The sequence below is a fragment of the Homo sapiens genome, chromosome 11 (assembly GCF_000001405.40).
Source record: "Homo sapiens chromosome 11, GRCh38.p14 Primary Assembly".
Taxonomy (NCBI): domain Eukaryota; kingdom Metazoa; phylum Chordata; class Mammalia; order Primates; family Hominidae; genus Homo; species Homo sapiens.
In genome coordinates this window covers 31,929,451-31,946,468 of record NC_000011.10, presented here as the reverse complement: position 1 = coordinate 31,946,468, position 17,018 = coordinate 31,929,451, and the positions used below count along the sequence as shown (strand labels likewise).

At 41.9% G+C, this 17,018-nt stretch overlaps 2 annotated features.

Moving 5' to 3' along the window:
* Positions 3,076 to 3,185: an enhancer, noted in NCBI's record as "active region_4559". NCBI's record gives its function as "activates an Ori minimal core promoter by ATAC-STARR-seq in GM12878 lymphoblastoid cells {active_cell/tissue: GM12878}" and the evidence as "EXISTENCE:reporter gene assay evidence [ECO:0000049][PMID:35858748]".
* Positions 6,965 to 7,162: a silencer, noted in NCBI's record as "fragment chr11:31960853-31961050 (GRCh37/hg19 assembly coordinates)". NCBI's record gives its function as "represses an EF-1alpha promoter that drives an FKBP-Casp9 reporter gene in an ReSE screen in K562 erythroleukemia cells {active_cell/tissue: K562}" and the evidence as "EXISTENCE:reporter gene assay evidence [ECO:0000049][PMID:32094911]".

The window sequence follows — 17,018 nt, the reverse complement described above, 5'->3', positions numbered from 1 at the left end:
CCACAAGGGGCCCATTTACTATAACTTAGCACTGGACCAGGGCACCTGGGATCTAGGAGTGGAGTAACTTCTAATTCTTCCCCCTCAGTCCTCCGTACATTATAGACAAATATTGCACGTTCTCATCTTAAGCTTTACTAGTTATTTGCTGCTGTGAGCACCAAAGCATACAAAAACTTTTTCTTTCCTTGTAGTAAGTGGCATGCGGGTAAGTGCTTAACAACCAGCTCTCTGTGGAGGGTAGGGGGGAGCCCCACTTCATAGTGTTTGCCAATTTCTGTGGTGTAAATACTCCTACTATGGCCTATTTCAAGCTGCCATCCTGACCCAATTTAAGAACTGACTACCAATTTAAGAACTGATACACACAATCCACTCTCAGGAACCAGTGCCAGCCAGGCCACCTTCAGCAAAATGTTGCTGTAAATTCTGACTCTCATCATAATATTATAGCCTAATTTGTTGAACCATACAATGTCTGAGCAGGAAAAGACCTCAGAGATAATCTAGTCTAAACTTCCGCATTTGAAGGATATGGGACCAGGCCCAGAGAAGTGCAGTGACTTGCCTAAGGCAACCCAGCAAGTTAATGGCAGATGGGACTCAAATCCAGACCTTCTGGCTCTTTCATTCACACTATGCTTCTCTTTAAACATATGGTCTTGTTGATTCACAAAATAGTCAGGCAAGAGTTATTGTATCCATTTAATAGAAGGAGAAACTGAGAAAGGGTATTAAGAATTACCCAAAGCTACAGAGCTAATAAGTGCACTCATGTCTGTCTGACTTCCATTCCATTGAAACCTCTCCATTCCACCTTTTCTTGGGTGGATGCTACCACGAGACATGCTCTTCTACAGTCTTTCAGCTGCTAAAGAGTTTTGACCAGCAAGTCATGGATGGGTGAATTGTTCTGTTGACTTCCAGTCTGTTACCCATTAATTCTCTATCCTGAATATTACCTATAGCTGGCTTTAAAGATACATCTATTGGCTGGGTGCAGTGGCTCACGCCTGTAATTCCAGCACTTTGGGAGGCCGAGGTGGGTGGATCACCAGGTCAGGAGATCGAGACCATCCTGGCTAACATGGTGAAACCCCGTCTGTACTAAAAATACAAAAATTAGCCAGGCGTGGTGGTGGGTGCCTGTAGTCCCAGCTCCTCGGTAGGCTGAGGCAGGAGAATGGTGTGAACCCGGGAAGTGGAGCTTGCAGTGAGCAGAGATCGCACCATTGCACTCCAGCATGGGTGACAGAGCGAGACTCCATCTCAAAAAAAAAAAAAAAAAAGATACATCTATGACTTCTGTTAGCATACATGGTAGGCTGCTATAATAGAGAAACGCCCAAATACAATGGCTTAAACAATATTGAAGTTTATTTCTCTCTTACCTGAAGTTCAAGTAGAGAGCCTAGGTCTTTATGGTGGCTCAGTAATGTCAGGGGCCCAGGTTCTTTCTTTTCTGTTCTTCTGCTCAAAACATGGCTCAATATAAGGCTTTCATCTCATGGCCCAAAATGGCTGCTCCAACTCCTGCCATCATAGCTATGTGCCAAGCAGAGGAAAGGAGAAAGTGGAGGAAGAACAGGGCATGCTTCTTCTTTTTTTTAATTGCACTTTCAAAGGTTGCACGTATTATTTTTGCTCACACACCACTGGCAAGAAAAGAGTCACATTGTCACATAGTTGCATGGGAGGCTGAGAAATCTGGTTTTTAACTGAGCAGCTATCTCCTCAGCAAAAACTTGAGGGTTCTCCTGAAGGAAGAAGAGGAGAATGCACATTGAAAAATGATTAGCAGTTTCTGCTATGATGTCTGAGATGCAGGAGATACAGAAGGAATGAAGCTAGGAAAGAAGAAAGAAGGAAGATGTGGAAAGTAAAGGGAGCCACACACACTGTCGGAGAGTCTCGTGTCAGAAGAAGAATTGCAATCAGCCTTTGTCCTCTTCAAAGTCAAATACCTGTATCATCCTAAGAATCTGCATCATTTAGGAAGTTTTTGATAACTTTTAAAAATTTATTTTGAATGCGATATTCAGAAGGTGTTTTGTTTTGTTTTGTTTTGTTTTGTTTTTTTGAGACAGAGTCTCCCTCTGTCACCCAGGCTGGAGTGCAGTGGTGTGATGTCAGCTCACTGCAAACTCTGCCACCCGTGCTCACTGCAAACTCTGCCTCCCGTGGAGGCGGTTTTTAAATGTCCAAACATAAGTCCATGCTCTCTGATGTATTGTCAAATCCAGACTGTAAATGATCATGCCCTGTGGTGACAATGATCAGGCAGGTGGTTCAGTGCTTGAACCTCAGTTTTGTGGACTAAGTTGAGGTATAAATATAATTTTAATGTTATTGCCCATCTCTCTTTTGCGGAGCAGCCACTGGGCTCTGGGTTTTAGGCCCACTTCCACCCCAACACCTGCTTCTAGCCACCTTCAGAAGGGCCATAACTTGGGCATTAGTAAAAGGCCTAATGAAACAAACCAGATTAAGAGGCATACAACTTTCTTGAGTCTTGGCAATGGTCTGCTCTGTTCTTAATTACAGTGGCAGCACCTCTCAGGCCATCCGATTTCCTGCTTGAACCTGCCCCCGTTTGAGCTAAGCATAAGGAGTCAGGTGAAAGTTCAGATGCCCTTCAGAGGAAGAAAGCAAACTCAAGATTCAGCATCTCTGGCAGGGGTTCCTTGGAGGTATGCTTTGAATTGCTTAATCCTTTTAAACACTGTTAAGAGTGCATTACCTCCTGCTTAACTATTCAAAACCTCAGTAAAGATGGTTGTCTCAGGCTGGTGGAGTGGACAGATGGAATGTTGAAAAATCTTTCCAGTGAAAATCGTTCAGGAGAGCTTATTCTTCAGTGCCTCTATTTCCTCATCTGTAAAATGGGGGTAACAATACCAATTACAAAGGGTTATCAAGAGGTTTGATGAAAAAATGCTGCAAGGTGCCTACCAGGCATATGGTAAGGGCTCAGTAAGAGCTAGTTTCCTTCCTCCATCCAGAAGGCAAAAGCCTTTGCCTGTAGCCTCAGAGAGGCTGCTGTGCCTCCAATTCACAGCAGAGTAATAGGCAACAGGAGGACTCCCTATGCCTTCCTGGGGAGTCTTGTCTTTTCAGTTCAATCCCACCAGAGTGCATTAAGTGCCTGCTGAGTGCAAGATTTTCCCTAGGAGACTAGAAGGAGGAGTCAGACACCATCTCTGCCTGGGCTGAGCATGTAGCCTACCAGCAGGAGGACCAGGACAAGAGCACACATAAGTGTAAAGCAAGGCAGACATTTGACACTCTGGTACTTGCCTCATTACCTCTGAAAGCCCCATCGCATAGCAGGGAGTTAGCAGGATGTGGTTCTCATAAACCCCAAAGTGGTGATTTCCATATTCAGTAACTTTGATTTTTTTCCCCCCACTACCATTTATATTTTCTGTTTCAAGAGAAAAAGCTCTTTGGAAAATTCTCATGCATTCTCTTTCCCAGGCATAGAGCTGCTTTGAACAGCCCAAGTTAATTGGAAATCTCTCCTAAAATCATGCTGCACTTTCTAAGGCCATTTAAAAATTCATGATCAGTATTCAGATTGCCCCTGTGAATCCAGCCATTGGGGTCTTCACACTATTTAAAGTCACAGCCTGGTCTCCAAGAGCCACGTATCTAGTCCTATTATTAAAATGTCTATCTGCAAGTCACAAAAAAGACAAAGCTCTCAGACTGACAAAAGGCCTTCTCTTTGATTAAAAGCAAATCCTCCATTATGAGAAATGAAACTGCCTCCATAGATGGCACTAAACTTGACATCAAGGTACCTTCCTACCTGAGGAATCCAGGGGAGGGCAAGGAGCCTCTGAAGATAACAGTATTTAGGGCTTCATTAGAGCACTAACCATGCAGGCAGGAATTCCACTTGCTTCCTAGGCTGTCTCTCTTGACCAAGTTGCGAGGGCCAGAGTCTGACACAGGGCCTGGTTTACAGTGGATGCTCAGTAAGTATTTATTAAATGAATGAATAAATGAAATAATAAAATATGGCAAAAATTGGCATGAAAATGGGTGGTATCAAGACAAAACAGGTCATGAAAGTTCCCAGTGATCACAGCTCTATCACCAAATGATCTAAGAGACAGAATTCCCTAATTGTCAAAGTATAATCAATCATTGTGTTTTCTAGTTTCAATATTTGCTGCATTGACATCTTGGGACCTTGATGAATCTTGGGGAACTGCCCTTCCCAGGGTTAGACAATTCTTAGGGATAGTAAAAAAAACTCAGGCTGGGCACGGTGGCTCACGCCTGTAATCCCAGCACTTTGGGATGCCTAGTTGGGGAGATCACGAGGTCAGGAGTTCGAGACCAGCCTGACCAACATGGTGAAACCCCGTCTCTACTAAAAATATAAAAATTAGCCAGGTGTGGTGGCGGGTGCCTGTAATCCCAGCTACTCAGGAGGCTGAGGCAGGAGAATTGCTTGAACCCGGGAGGCGGAGGTTGCAGTAAGCCAAGATCGTACCACTGCACTCCAGTCTGGGTGACAGAGCGAGACTCCATCTCAAAAAAAAAACAAAACTAAACTAAACTCATCTACAAGTGCACTTTTTGTATGCAAACACATCCATTAAGAGCCCATAGCCCAACCACCTCCTTTGTTGAGTTCTCACACTCAGGGCTAATACCTACCTGCCCTAATCACTCCAGGGCTAGGTACCAGGTATCTAGAGACAGCCCCTATTCCTCAGAGCACACTGAAATTATTCAAACTAACCAAGCCTAAACTTGCTTATCCTGCCTTGCCCATTTCTTCCTGCAGAAACCACCATAAATGCCCTTGCCCATGTTTTCCCCTTGCTCCCTCTGCCTCTTGACCAACCCTAGTGCTTCCTTATGTGTCCCCAACCCCATAATGTGGCCTGTCCCCTCTTCTTGGGAAACTTGAGTAACAAACTATCTTTGCAATAGCCATCATCTCGTGATCTGTTGGCTTCATCATATCTGAATAATAATAAAATCTACATTTTAAAACACAAACAATAGATTTGGTCTTATAGACAGAAATGTTCCTATAGTAAGAAAGTTAAGGATATCAATATATTCATTCATTCATTCATCTACAAGCATTTACTGAGCACCCACTGTGAGCCAAGCACTCTGATAGGCTCTGAAGACACTGACCTATAGCCCTCTGATATGGTTTGGCTGTTTTCCCACCCAAATCTCATCTTGAATTGTGATTCTGATAATCCTTAGGTGTCATGGGAGGGACCCAGCTGGAGGTAGTTGAATCATGGGGCCAGGTTTTTCCCGTACTGTTCTCGTGATAGTGAAAAAGTCTCATAAGATCTGATGGTTTTATAAAGGGCATTTCCCCTGTACATGCTCTCTTGCCTGCTACCATGTAAGATGTGCGTTTGCTCCTCCTTCGCCTTCCACTATGATTGTGAGGCCTCCCCAGCCATGTGGAACTGTGAGTCCATTAAACCTCTTTTCCTTTATAAATGACCCAGTCTCAGGTATTTCTTCATAGCAGTATGAAAATGGACTAATACAGCCTGCAGTTATCCTGTACTGTGTTATATCTCTGTGCTTTACTGGTGCTGTTTCCAGTGTCTTTCCTTCCGCTCTCCTGCCTGGCTAACACCAAATCATCTTTCAAGCACAGCTCAAATGTTGCTTCCCCTGTTAAACCTTCCACCTGACTGCCTAAATTGGCAGACTTCCTGACTACACACTTCTTTATGCTTTTACTCTACTGTCTGCATTCGGCAAGAGGGTTATGATGAGCCAGGCATGGTGCCAGGCACATGAATATGGAGATAAATTATAAATAGTTCCTGGCCTCAAAGAGCTCATAGTCTGGGAAAGTATGTTGTACATGACTAATTGCAATAGAGTTTGCAGGCACCACAATTGTAGCACACGTCTCCAGATGACCTTGGCTGACCCAGCTCTTCCCTCTCTTGCTTGCATTTCTCAGGCAGGATGGACTAAGAATGCAACATCCTGAGATAAGGAGGAAATGTCCAAAACAACCAGGGCTATGTCCTTATTCCTTCTAGAACTGGATATTCTGCAACACTGGTGCTCAGTGAGCCAAGTGACGCCCAGAGCACATAAACCCAGGCCAGAGCAGAGTGATTTTGAGGCCCCTCAGTTGTGGTGCAACATGGGGCACAGGGAGATGAGACTCCATCTACCCTGGGCAGCTTTCCTGAGCCCTGCTGGACCGGCTCACCATGGATCCTAGGCTTCCGTTTATCCTTGCTGCCTATCTATGAGTAATAAATCTACATGGCCTAAAAATAAGATTCAACAAGAAACAGAAAAGATAAAGAGCCCTATATCCATTTTCAAAATTTAATGTGTAGTCAAAAGTGGCTCCACAAAGAAAATGCAAGGTCCACTTGGTGTTACAGATCAGCACTACCAAAATTTCCAGAACAGATTAATGCTAATCTCACACAAATAGTCTGGAGGATGAAAAAATAGAGGAAACACTGCTGAAATTATTTTATGGGGCTAGTTTAAGTATAATGATTTTAAATCGTGTCACACGCTCTTTGAAACTTCTTCCTTGAAAAGGTGAAGTCAGCTGGGGATGGTGGTATGTGCCTGTAGTCTGAGAAGTTCACTTGAGCCCAAGAGTTCAAGGTCAGCCTGGGCAGTTCAAGGTCAGCCTGGGCAATATAGTGAGAAAAAAAGGGTGAAGTCTCTGTGCCCTCCCCTGAAACCTGATGTGACTTCCTCAGCAAACAAGATGCAGCAGAAGAGGTGCCATATAACTTCCAAGATTTGAAAAGGCTATGCAGCTTCTACCAGTTTCTGTTGGGATATTTGCTCTGGAAGTCTCTGGGAGCTCAATGACTTGGAAACTGCCATGCTGAAGAAACCAAAACAAATAGAGATAGAAAGAGATACCTGTGAGTCTCAGCTTTCCAGCTCCACCTGTTTGAGTCTTCCCAAATCAGGCAGCAGGCAAATGAGCAAGAAAGCCTTTCAAGTGATTCCCAGCCACCCTCTGGCTGCAAACACACAAAAGATCCCAATCAAGAGCCACTTAGTTGAGCCCTGTCAACCCCCAGAGCCATGATAGATAATAACAATAAATAATTGTTGTTGTTTTACACCACTCAGTTTGGGGTAGTTTTTTACGTACAACAAATACCTAGAACAAATTTTTATGTAGCAGAAGATGACCAAAACATTAACCTTGTTATCCAGACTAGACAAAGAATCAAAACGAAAGTGACGGGCTAATCTCATTCATGAACATAGATACCAAAGTCCTAGACAAAATATTGGCAAGCTGAATCCAGCCATGTATAAACAAAGATAATGCATAAAACCAAGTTGGGTTTATCCCAAGAATGTAATACTAGAAAATTGATTAATGAAATCCACTCCATTTACAGATTAAAGGAGAAAAAAAACATGATCATTTCAGTAAACACAGAGAAAAGTATTCAATAAAATGTAACATTAACTCATGTTTTTTTTAAAACAAAAGTCTTCTTAAACTAGGAATGAGAGGGAACTTCCACACCCAATCATGGGCAACCTCAAAAATGAAAGAAAGGAAAAACAAAAAACTACCACAAACATCATTCTTTATGGTGAAATGTTGAAAATGTTGCCTTCAAGACAAGGAAGGGGACAAGAATGCTCACTATTAACGTACCTATTCAACTTGGTACTGAAGGCATCAATCAGAGAAGTATAACCTCAAAAAGACTGGAAACAAAACAAAAACTGTCATTATTTGCAGATGACTTAATTACTTACCTGGAAAACATGCCAAATGATGTATAAAAATGTTAGAATTGGAGAGTTTATCAAAATTCTATAGAAAAACAATATAAAAAGTCAATTGCATCTCTAAACACCACCAAGTTAGAATATGCAATTTTTAAAGACACCATTTACAACAGCAAGAAAAATATAAAAGAGATAAAGTGTTAAAGCAAATGCAATAAAATGTTAACATTTAGAAAATCTGGATGAAAAAATCTTTGTACTACTTTTATAACTTTTCCTTCAGTCTGAAATATAAAAAGCCTTTTTTTTTTTTTTCTGAGATGGAGTTTTGCTCTTTTCGCCCAGGCTGGAGTGCAGTGGCACCATCTCAGCTCACTGCAACCTCCGCCTGCTGGGTTCAAGCGATTCTCTTGCCTCAGCCTCCCGAGTAGCTGGGATTACAGTTGCCTGCCACCACGCCCAGCTAATTTTTGTATTTTTAGTAGAGACAGGGTTTCGCCACTTTAGTCAGGCTGGTCTTGAACTCCTGACCTCAGATGGTCCACCCAGCTCAGCCCCTCAAAGTGCTGCGATTACAGGCATGAGCCACTGCACCCAGCCCAAAAGTTTTAAAATGTAAGAACTTCTTGCTCATTTTAAAAAATGCTCTGAATTAGCCAGGCATAGTGGTGCATGCCTATAGTCCCAGCTACTTGGGAGGCTGAGATGGGAGAATCTGGGAGGCAGAGGTTGCAGTGAGCCGAGATCACGCCCCTGCACTCCAGCCTGGGAGACAGAGCAAGACTCCATTTCAAAAAAAATAAATAAATAAAAATGCCCTGAAGAGAATAAAAAGACAAGCCTCAAATTGAAAATACATTTACAATACATATAACTGATAAAAATTAGTGATATGGTTTGCCTCTGTATCTCCATCCAAATCTCGTCTCAAATTGTAATCCCCATACTCCCCATGTGTTGAGGGAAGGATCTGGTGGGAGGTGACTGAATCATGGGGGTGGTTTCCTCCATGCTGGTCTCGTGATAGTGAGTGAGTGCTCACAAGATCTGATGGTTTTATAAATGACAGTTTCCTCCGCTCTCTTTCCTCTCTCCTGCTGCCTTGTGAGGAAGATACTTGCTTCTTCTTCCCCTTCTGCCATTACTGTAAGTCTCCTGAGGTGTCCCCTGCTATGTGGAGCTGTGGGTCAATTAAACCTCGTTTGTTTATAAATTACTCAGTCTCAGGCAGTTCTTTGTAGCAGTGTGAAAACGAACTAATGCAACTAGCATTCAGAAAATATAAAGAACTCCAAATCAATATGAAAAAGGAAACCCAAAAGAAAAAGGGGCAAAGGAGTTGAACACATATTTCATAGCAGAAGCAGCACAAATGGTTCTTAAATTTATGAAAAGGTGCCTAAACCTATGAATGATCAGTAAATGCAAATTAGCATTCCAAGAAAATACCACCAGAATGGTGAAAATTTACAAACTGGTCAATATCAGGATGGAGAGATTGGAGAACAATGTAAGCTCTCATCCACTGCTTATGGGAATTAAAATTGGTACAGTCCTTTGGTAAACACTCTGGCATTATCATCAAGAGGAACCCATGCTTACACTCTATCAATTCCACTGGTATTTACCCTAAAACACACACGTGTGCACCAACAGGTACATACAAGAAAATTCACAGCAGTGCTGTTAGTAAAGCCAGAAACAATCCAAATTCCCATCAGCAACAGAATGAATAAATAAATTGTGGCATATTCACAAATTGGTAAGCCAGGTAGCAGTAAAATTGAATAAACTACATCTACATGAATCAACTTGGATAAATCACTAAAATATAATGTTAAAGAATCAAGTCACGGGAGAATAGATAATGCATTATTCCATCCTATAAAAACAGGAAATACTAAAGCATATACATATATAGATGATAAAGAAAAAAGAACAAGAAACCTCAAACAAAATGATAACAATATTCTGTTTCATAAGCTTGGTGGTGAATACATAAGAATTTGAATACATAAGAATTTGTTCTCTCATTATTCTTTAAACTGCATATACATATACATATTATACATTTTTATGTGTATGTTTCCTAATAAAAGTCTATGAACATATAAAATACCTATGACACCTGCTCTTAGGGTTGGGAGTTGACCTCATTTTCTATGGGTGGCACAGTCATCAGTAGGCGAGTCCTGTTATAGCCACTGTGGACTTCCTTGCTGCATGCCTTTGAGCAAGTTTCTTAACTTTTCCAAGCTGTGAAGTAGACAACCACACCTACTTCACAGGGCAGTTAATGAGCATTAAATGAAGTCATTGCCATATAAAATACCTAACACACAGCAGGCTTTTGATAGGTGGTAGCTTTCTAAAAAGTGGTACTCTAACAAAGTCACCAGGAACTTCTAAACACACTCTTACATGTTCTTTCCCTAATTACATTAATAACAACCAAGCAGCAGTCTCCAAGAGAGCGCATGTAGGTCACAGTATTTTTGTTTTGGTGTAGGATCATTCTTATTTGCGGTGTCATGACTCCTACCAGGCCCTGCATCTCCTGCTTCCCAGATGCACCAGAGGTTTGCTCGTTCATAAACATTGCTGCAGCTAGCTGAAAGCAGCCCCAACCTATTATTTAGCCTTATTTTTAAAAAATACACACTGTGAGCTTGGAGTTATCTCTCATTATGAAGAAATTGCAGTAATGATCCTCTGTACTTAACATTCTGGGATACTTTTCTTTCTCAAAACAAAATTTTAAAATTCCTTGTACACTTGAAAATTAAACATATGCAGTCTGAGCTGAGGCCAGAGCCGCCCTGGACAGGTAAGTTCCTTGGTTGAATTTGACCCCAGAATATTGGCTTCAGGAAGGTCAGAATGAGAGGCCAGCAGCACTTTTTACCTTCCTGACTCCCCAGTTATGCCATGCAAGCCCCTCAAAACCAAGAGTGTATCTTACCCATTTATGTATCGCTTCATGCAGGCCTGGCATATAGTAGGTGCTCAATAAAAGTTTTCTGAACTGAAATTAATTGCCTAAGAAAAAATTTGAGGTTCAGCACAGTGGTTCACGCCTGTAATCCCAGCACTTTGGGTGGCTGAGGTGGGCGATTCGCTAGAGGTCAGGAGTTTGAAACCAGCCTGGCCAACATGGTGAAACCTCACCTCTATTAAAAATACAAAAATTAGCTGGGCGAAGTGGGGAGCGCCTTTAACCCCAGCTACTTGGGAGGCTGAGGCAGAAGAATCATTTGAACCCAGGAGGCAGAGGTTGCAGTGAGCTGAGATCGCGCCATTGCACTCCACCCTGGGTGACACAGTGAGACTCTGTCTAAAAAAAAAAGGTGGCCAGTGTCTGCAGGTGGATCCAAACAGCCATTTGAGAATCAGCAGCAGCTTTTTACACCTTTGCAGGGTACGTGGCACCATGAACTAGCTAACTGCATGGACTAATTAATTGTTTGATTAAATAATTAATTTTTTGGTGGCTGGGAACTGAAGATTACTGACAAACAGAAATCCAACAAGCCGGCTGGAACATGGCAGTAAATGGACTTCCCTGAACTATGAGTTCAAGGGAGTGAGGGTTGGGGTGCTGATGTCTAAAACAAAGACTGTCTTTATCTGATTTTACTATTGCTGTCTTTGATGGAAGTTATCTTCCAGCAGTCACTAAGGAGCCTTGTTGGCACTTGTAAATCATTCCCATGTCGAGGAGCAGTTCCTAAATCCTGCCCCCTCCCCAATATCAGATATCCCTGGATGAGCCAAGATCATGGGGGGGCTTTTAACCCTGAACTCTAGCTATGATAAGAGCTAGACAAGAGCTCGGTTGAAAAGGACCTTCCTTGTTAAGTCAACTTAGATTGTAAACCAGAGTGCTGGGCGGAAGGTGCATTGACTTTAGTCACTCAGGATGCATGCCTGAAGCTGGGGTGGAACGAGCTCCCCCATGTGTGGGAGTCGTAGTTTTCCTAATAAAAATTAGGGTACTGTTACCAATTGTACGGGAAGCTGGGCCAACCAAAAAAGCCAATGTCCACTACCACAATTGGAAATGTGTCTGAAGATGACTAATTTGGGGTGGTGACGTGTGGGGTCACAATACCTCATTGGAGAAGGGACACAGCCCAGAGGCCTAGGGTGGCCACTCACTTGGTACTTGACTTTGAGCCAATGATTCTCTTTGGCCTGCCATTTTCTCCTCTGTAAGAGGAGGGGACAGAGCTTGGTCATTCCAAAGCCTGCCCAAGTCCTAACATTCCACAGGGCTCCTATTTCTCATCCCTGCCTGTCACCTGGGCATGTACAGGAAAGAATAGCTGTGGACACTGAGATCACCCTGGCAGTGGTTCTTTTACACCACAAATATGAGCTTGTTTCTTACTACTTGTGAGGGGACAGCTTAATTGAGATTAAATTATTTTGTGGTTCCTTTTGTCTGATGCTAATGGTGTGATATTCTTTTCTTAATTTTTATTTTATTTAAAATAGAGATGGGGTCTATGTTGCCCAGGCTGGTCTTGAACTCCCGGCCTCAAGTGATCCTCTGCCTCAGCCTCTCAAAGTGCTGGGGTTACAGGCATGAACCACCACGCCCAACCTGGTGGGGTATTTTTAACCATTGTTTGAAAATTTGGGAATTTCAAGTGTCCCTGCACTTTTCTCAAAGCTTCTAGGTATGCAACTTCTTCAAATTTCATAAACGGGATAAAAAAATGCCCTATTTAGGAAAAACTATGAATAAATGGAATGGACTAACCTGATTTCTTCCAGGGCAGGAATGTGTCTTAGTCAGTTTTGTATTACTGGTATCTGCTGTAATGCTTGGCATATAATTAACCATTTCATTTAGTGTCAGATATTTAATGAGCACCTACTATGTGCCAGGCACCTTGCAAGACCCTTGGTATACAATGATGGATGAGACATCCTTAAAGAGCTCCTGATCAAGTAGGAGACAAATGAGTTAAAGACAAATATGACAGTAAGGTAATCATGAGGAGGGGAATAAGAACCAAGGGTAACAGAAAGCACCCCCAGCTCAGTTCTGGAGAGTCAGGGAAAACCTTTGTGTTGCTGTCATCCAAGCAGACACCTAAAGCTAGAACAGGAGTTACTCACACTGGAGCTCCCCAGTCGAGGTACAGCATGAGGAGAGAGAGACAGACAGAGAGAGCAAGAAAGAAATATGAGGGCTGGGGTGGGAAGGAAGCAGAATCCAGACAATGAAGGGCCTTGATGTCTTAATAAGGAGTCACCTTAAGGGCAGTGGGCAGCCAGCTGTGATTTTATGCAGGGAGTAAATATATGTACATTGATTAATAAATACTGGTGTCTTTTTACGCATGGAATTTTCCTCATCTAAAAATACAGGGGTTGGATTAGATGATCGCTAAGATCCCTTCCAGTTGTGACATTCTGCAAGTCTCTAAGTTTCCACTATGATTCAGGTCAAGGTCTCTTGATTTTTGCCTCCTCTCACCAGCGGCAGAGGTTACCCTGAGCAGCATAATGGAATCAACAGCACACATGGTCTCCTTCTCACCCTCTGCTAGACAGATGAGCACGTTCCATTACAGAGGGTGAGACGGCTTCCTTCGTGACCAGCCTTGCACCAATCCATCCATCAGCCGATTAACGGTGGCTAAAAGCCACTTATCGGAGGGCTCCTGCCCTTATCACTGTCACTGGCTGCAAATAAACATCGACTTTATGCCGAGTTTCCATATTTAACCACATTTAAGTAACTGCTGATACTTTCATTACATGACATTTGCACTTCAGAATTCAAGATTAGACACATGCACAGAGCTCTTGCACCAAATAGGAAAGCCCAGTTTGTTTGGGGGCCTTCCTGCCATTTCTTTTCAAAGAAAGGAAGCTTCAAAGTGAATTCCATAGAACACAAGAATCTCTTGTACTCTAAAAACAATATCGACAAGAAACAGATCAGGACGATGTAGTTTTATTTTTATTTTAAAAGGTCGGTGCCTCATGTAAAAGCTGTCACACATCAATAATGGATGAGATGCATAAATGATATATCACAGTTGAAAAATTCAGTCCTCTGTGGAGCAGAAAAAATCTTTCTTTTTGAGCTGAATTTTACAATATAAAAGCTTAATACCACACACAAATTCATTACTTGATGATGAAAAATAATGCTTTTCTAGCCTGAACACTAATTAACAAGCATATTGTAAGGGCTTAGATAGTGTGAATGCAAATTCTGGGCCTCCATGTTTAAAAAATGGGGTCAAATTTACTCCTGGGCAAATAAAATACTTTAATATGATTTTAAGCTTAAAAATGAGGCGCTGATGTTCATCTTGTGATAATATACGTGACTTTCCAATCTATCATTTTTCTTATATTCCCTTTTTTTTGTTCTCGTTGGCTTGAAAAATTTTTATCTCTGTCCCTTAGCATAGCATCTGAAACAGGGTAGGTGCTCAATAAATGTGGTTTATATGAATAAAAGAATAAATGACAATTGCTTAATGTTTTTGGATGCTTACTGTGTGCCAAGCAATGCGCTAAATATTCTACATGCATTCTCTTATTTAATGATTGCAAATAGCCTTTACCTGGGTATTATCAACCATCCCATTTTGCAGATAAGGAAATTGGTTCCTAAAGAGGTTCAATAACTTGGTGTGGATATGTGGCTAGTGATGCTGGTAAGTGGTGAATCTAGATCCAAATCTGGCTGTGTTTGAACCCGGAGCCTCTATGCTTAGCTGTAATAGGACAATGAATGAATTCATAAACTTGCTCTTCTGGGCCAGTGAAGGAGAGGAGAATATTAATGGATTTGAGGGTTCAAAGTCACTAAAAATAAAAGGGACTAACATCTTTTGCCATCATGTAAAAAATATAATACAACTATCATGCTCCTTCAAGGTCAATACCTAATACGGGCTCCATAAAGTGCTAATCTGCACTGTCCAATAATATGGTAGCCACTAGCTACATGTGGCTATTTCAATTTCAATTGGCCAGAATTAAACAAAATAAAAAATTCATTACCACAGTTGCATTAGCCACATTTCAAATAATCAATAGCCACTTGTGGCTAGTGGCTACTGTACAGGACGGTGCAGACACAGAACCTTTCCTTCATCATGGGAAGTTCTGTTGGACAATGCCAGGTGAGAGTGCATGGACACAGATATAAATAGCACACAGACCCTGCCCTCCAGGAGCTCAGTGACTACCCGGGAGTAGAGCATATAAATTCATAGCTACCACCCAGGAAGATAATGTGAGGAGACAGAAGAGGTTCTGAGCCCAACTTGAAGGGGATACAGAATAGGGAAAACAAAAATAGGAAAGCTTCAGAGAGGAACTGCCACCTGCTCTGAGTCTTGAAGGAAGTGGAAGAAATTAGCCAGCAGAAAAAGATGGGCCCTCAGATGGGAGTGGGGGAGCTCCAGGCAGAGGGAACCGAAAGTTGAAAGGCCTAAAGCTGAGAGTGGAAGCAGGTCATTTGGGATTAGGACATCATGGGAAAATGAAGAGAGATGAAGCTGGCAGGGAGGCTGGGATGCCAGGGTAAGAAATCCCAGTGTCCAGGATGTGGCAGGATTCAGAAATAGGGGGCACCAATAAGGGTTGTGTGCTTTAAGCCTAAGAAGACTGTGTAGCAAAGGGGCCGGAGAATACTTTGCACTAGATTCCACAGCAAAGTAAAGCTGCAGACTCTGCTCAGGTTAGCCTGGGCTACTCAATATCTAATACCTAGGGTAATTCTAAAAATGAGCCCTAAAATGATCTCAGAAGAGAGAGCAAGAGAAAGACAGAGAGAGAGAAAGACACAGAGAGAGACTTAGAAGTGGGAGCTAAACATTGGGTACACACAGACGGGAACAGCAGATGGGAACAGCAGATGCTGGGGACTCCAAAAGGAGAGAGGGAAGGAAGGGGACAAGGATTGAAAAACTATCTATTAGATAGTATGCTCACTATTTGGGTAACCGGATCAAGAGAAACCAAACCTCAGCATTATGCAATATGCCCATGTAACAAACCTGCACATGTACCTCCTGAATCTAAGATTTAAAACAAACAAACAAACAAAAAGGTAAGTTTCCTTGAAACAGTCCTGTTTTTCCAATCATTACATAACCAAGAGACTAGAGAGCTGGTAGACTGCCACACTTTTAAGAATTGAGTGGAATGTGAATTGGAAATAAAAATTAAATATCACTAAAACTAAAAAGAGAAAGTATGAGTGTGTGTGTGTGTGTGTGTGTGTGTGTGTGTGTGTGTTGAGACAGAGAAAAATTTTAACATCATATACCTCTCCAAATGCATTTACAGGTTACTTTGGAGTTTGACTGAGCCCTTCTTCTTGAACTCCAATTCTCAAAAAGGACATTTGCATATTATTTCTCGAAAATGAAGCTAGAGTAAGTGAAATTCAGGCATCCACCAGAGCCTTGCTAGTGACTGTGGGAAGGCCAGAGAGGCTTTCTGTGGAAGCACACCATTGGTTGAGATAATCACTGGAAACAATCATTCCTACTCACTATGTTTCTCATATGGATAATTTGGATATGACATGGGAATGGTTTTGCAACTTACAATGGATCTTCAAACAATTTTATCTGAATTTCAGAAATTTTCAAGATTTGTTACTATGTTGTTGATTTTTTTTTTTTTTTGAGACAGAGTTTCACTCTTGTTGCCCAGACTGGAGTGCAATGGCATAATCTCGGCTCACTGCAACCTCCGTATCCCGGGTTCAAGTGATTCTCCTGCCTCAGCCTCCCAAGTAACTGGGATTATAGGCATGCGCCACCACGCCCAGCTAATTTTTTTTGTATTTTTAGTAGAGATGGAGTTTCAGATGATGTTGGTCAGGCTGGTCTCGAACTCCTGACCTCAGGTGATCCACCCTCCTTGGCCTCCCAAAGTGCTGGGATTACAGGCGTGAGCCACCGTGCACAGTCGATTTTAAAATTTGCATTGATTTCTGCCAGCTACTCCTGTTCTGACTGCATATAATATTGAAAAGAAGGAAGTAAGTTAAAGAATCAGCTGTAGTGAATTCAACAATATATTATAATGGGTTACAAAGTAGCATGCATTGTATGGAGTTTAAAAAGTAAGCAATAGAAAACACAAATTTTTGACAAATGTGCAAAAAGTTATAACATAGATGAAAATACATCCAAATGAGCAGAGCAGACATTACAATGAACTGAAAATAAATTTGAAATGAACAAAAACTTCGAACAACCTTCTGAAATTTCTAGATACTTTTT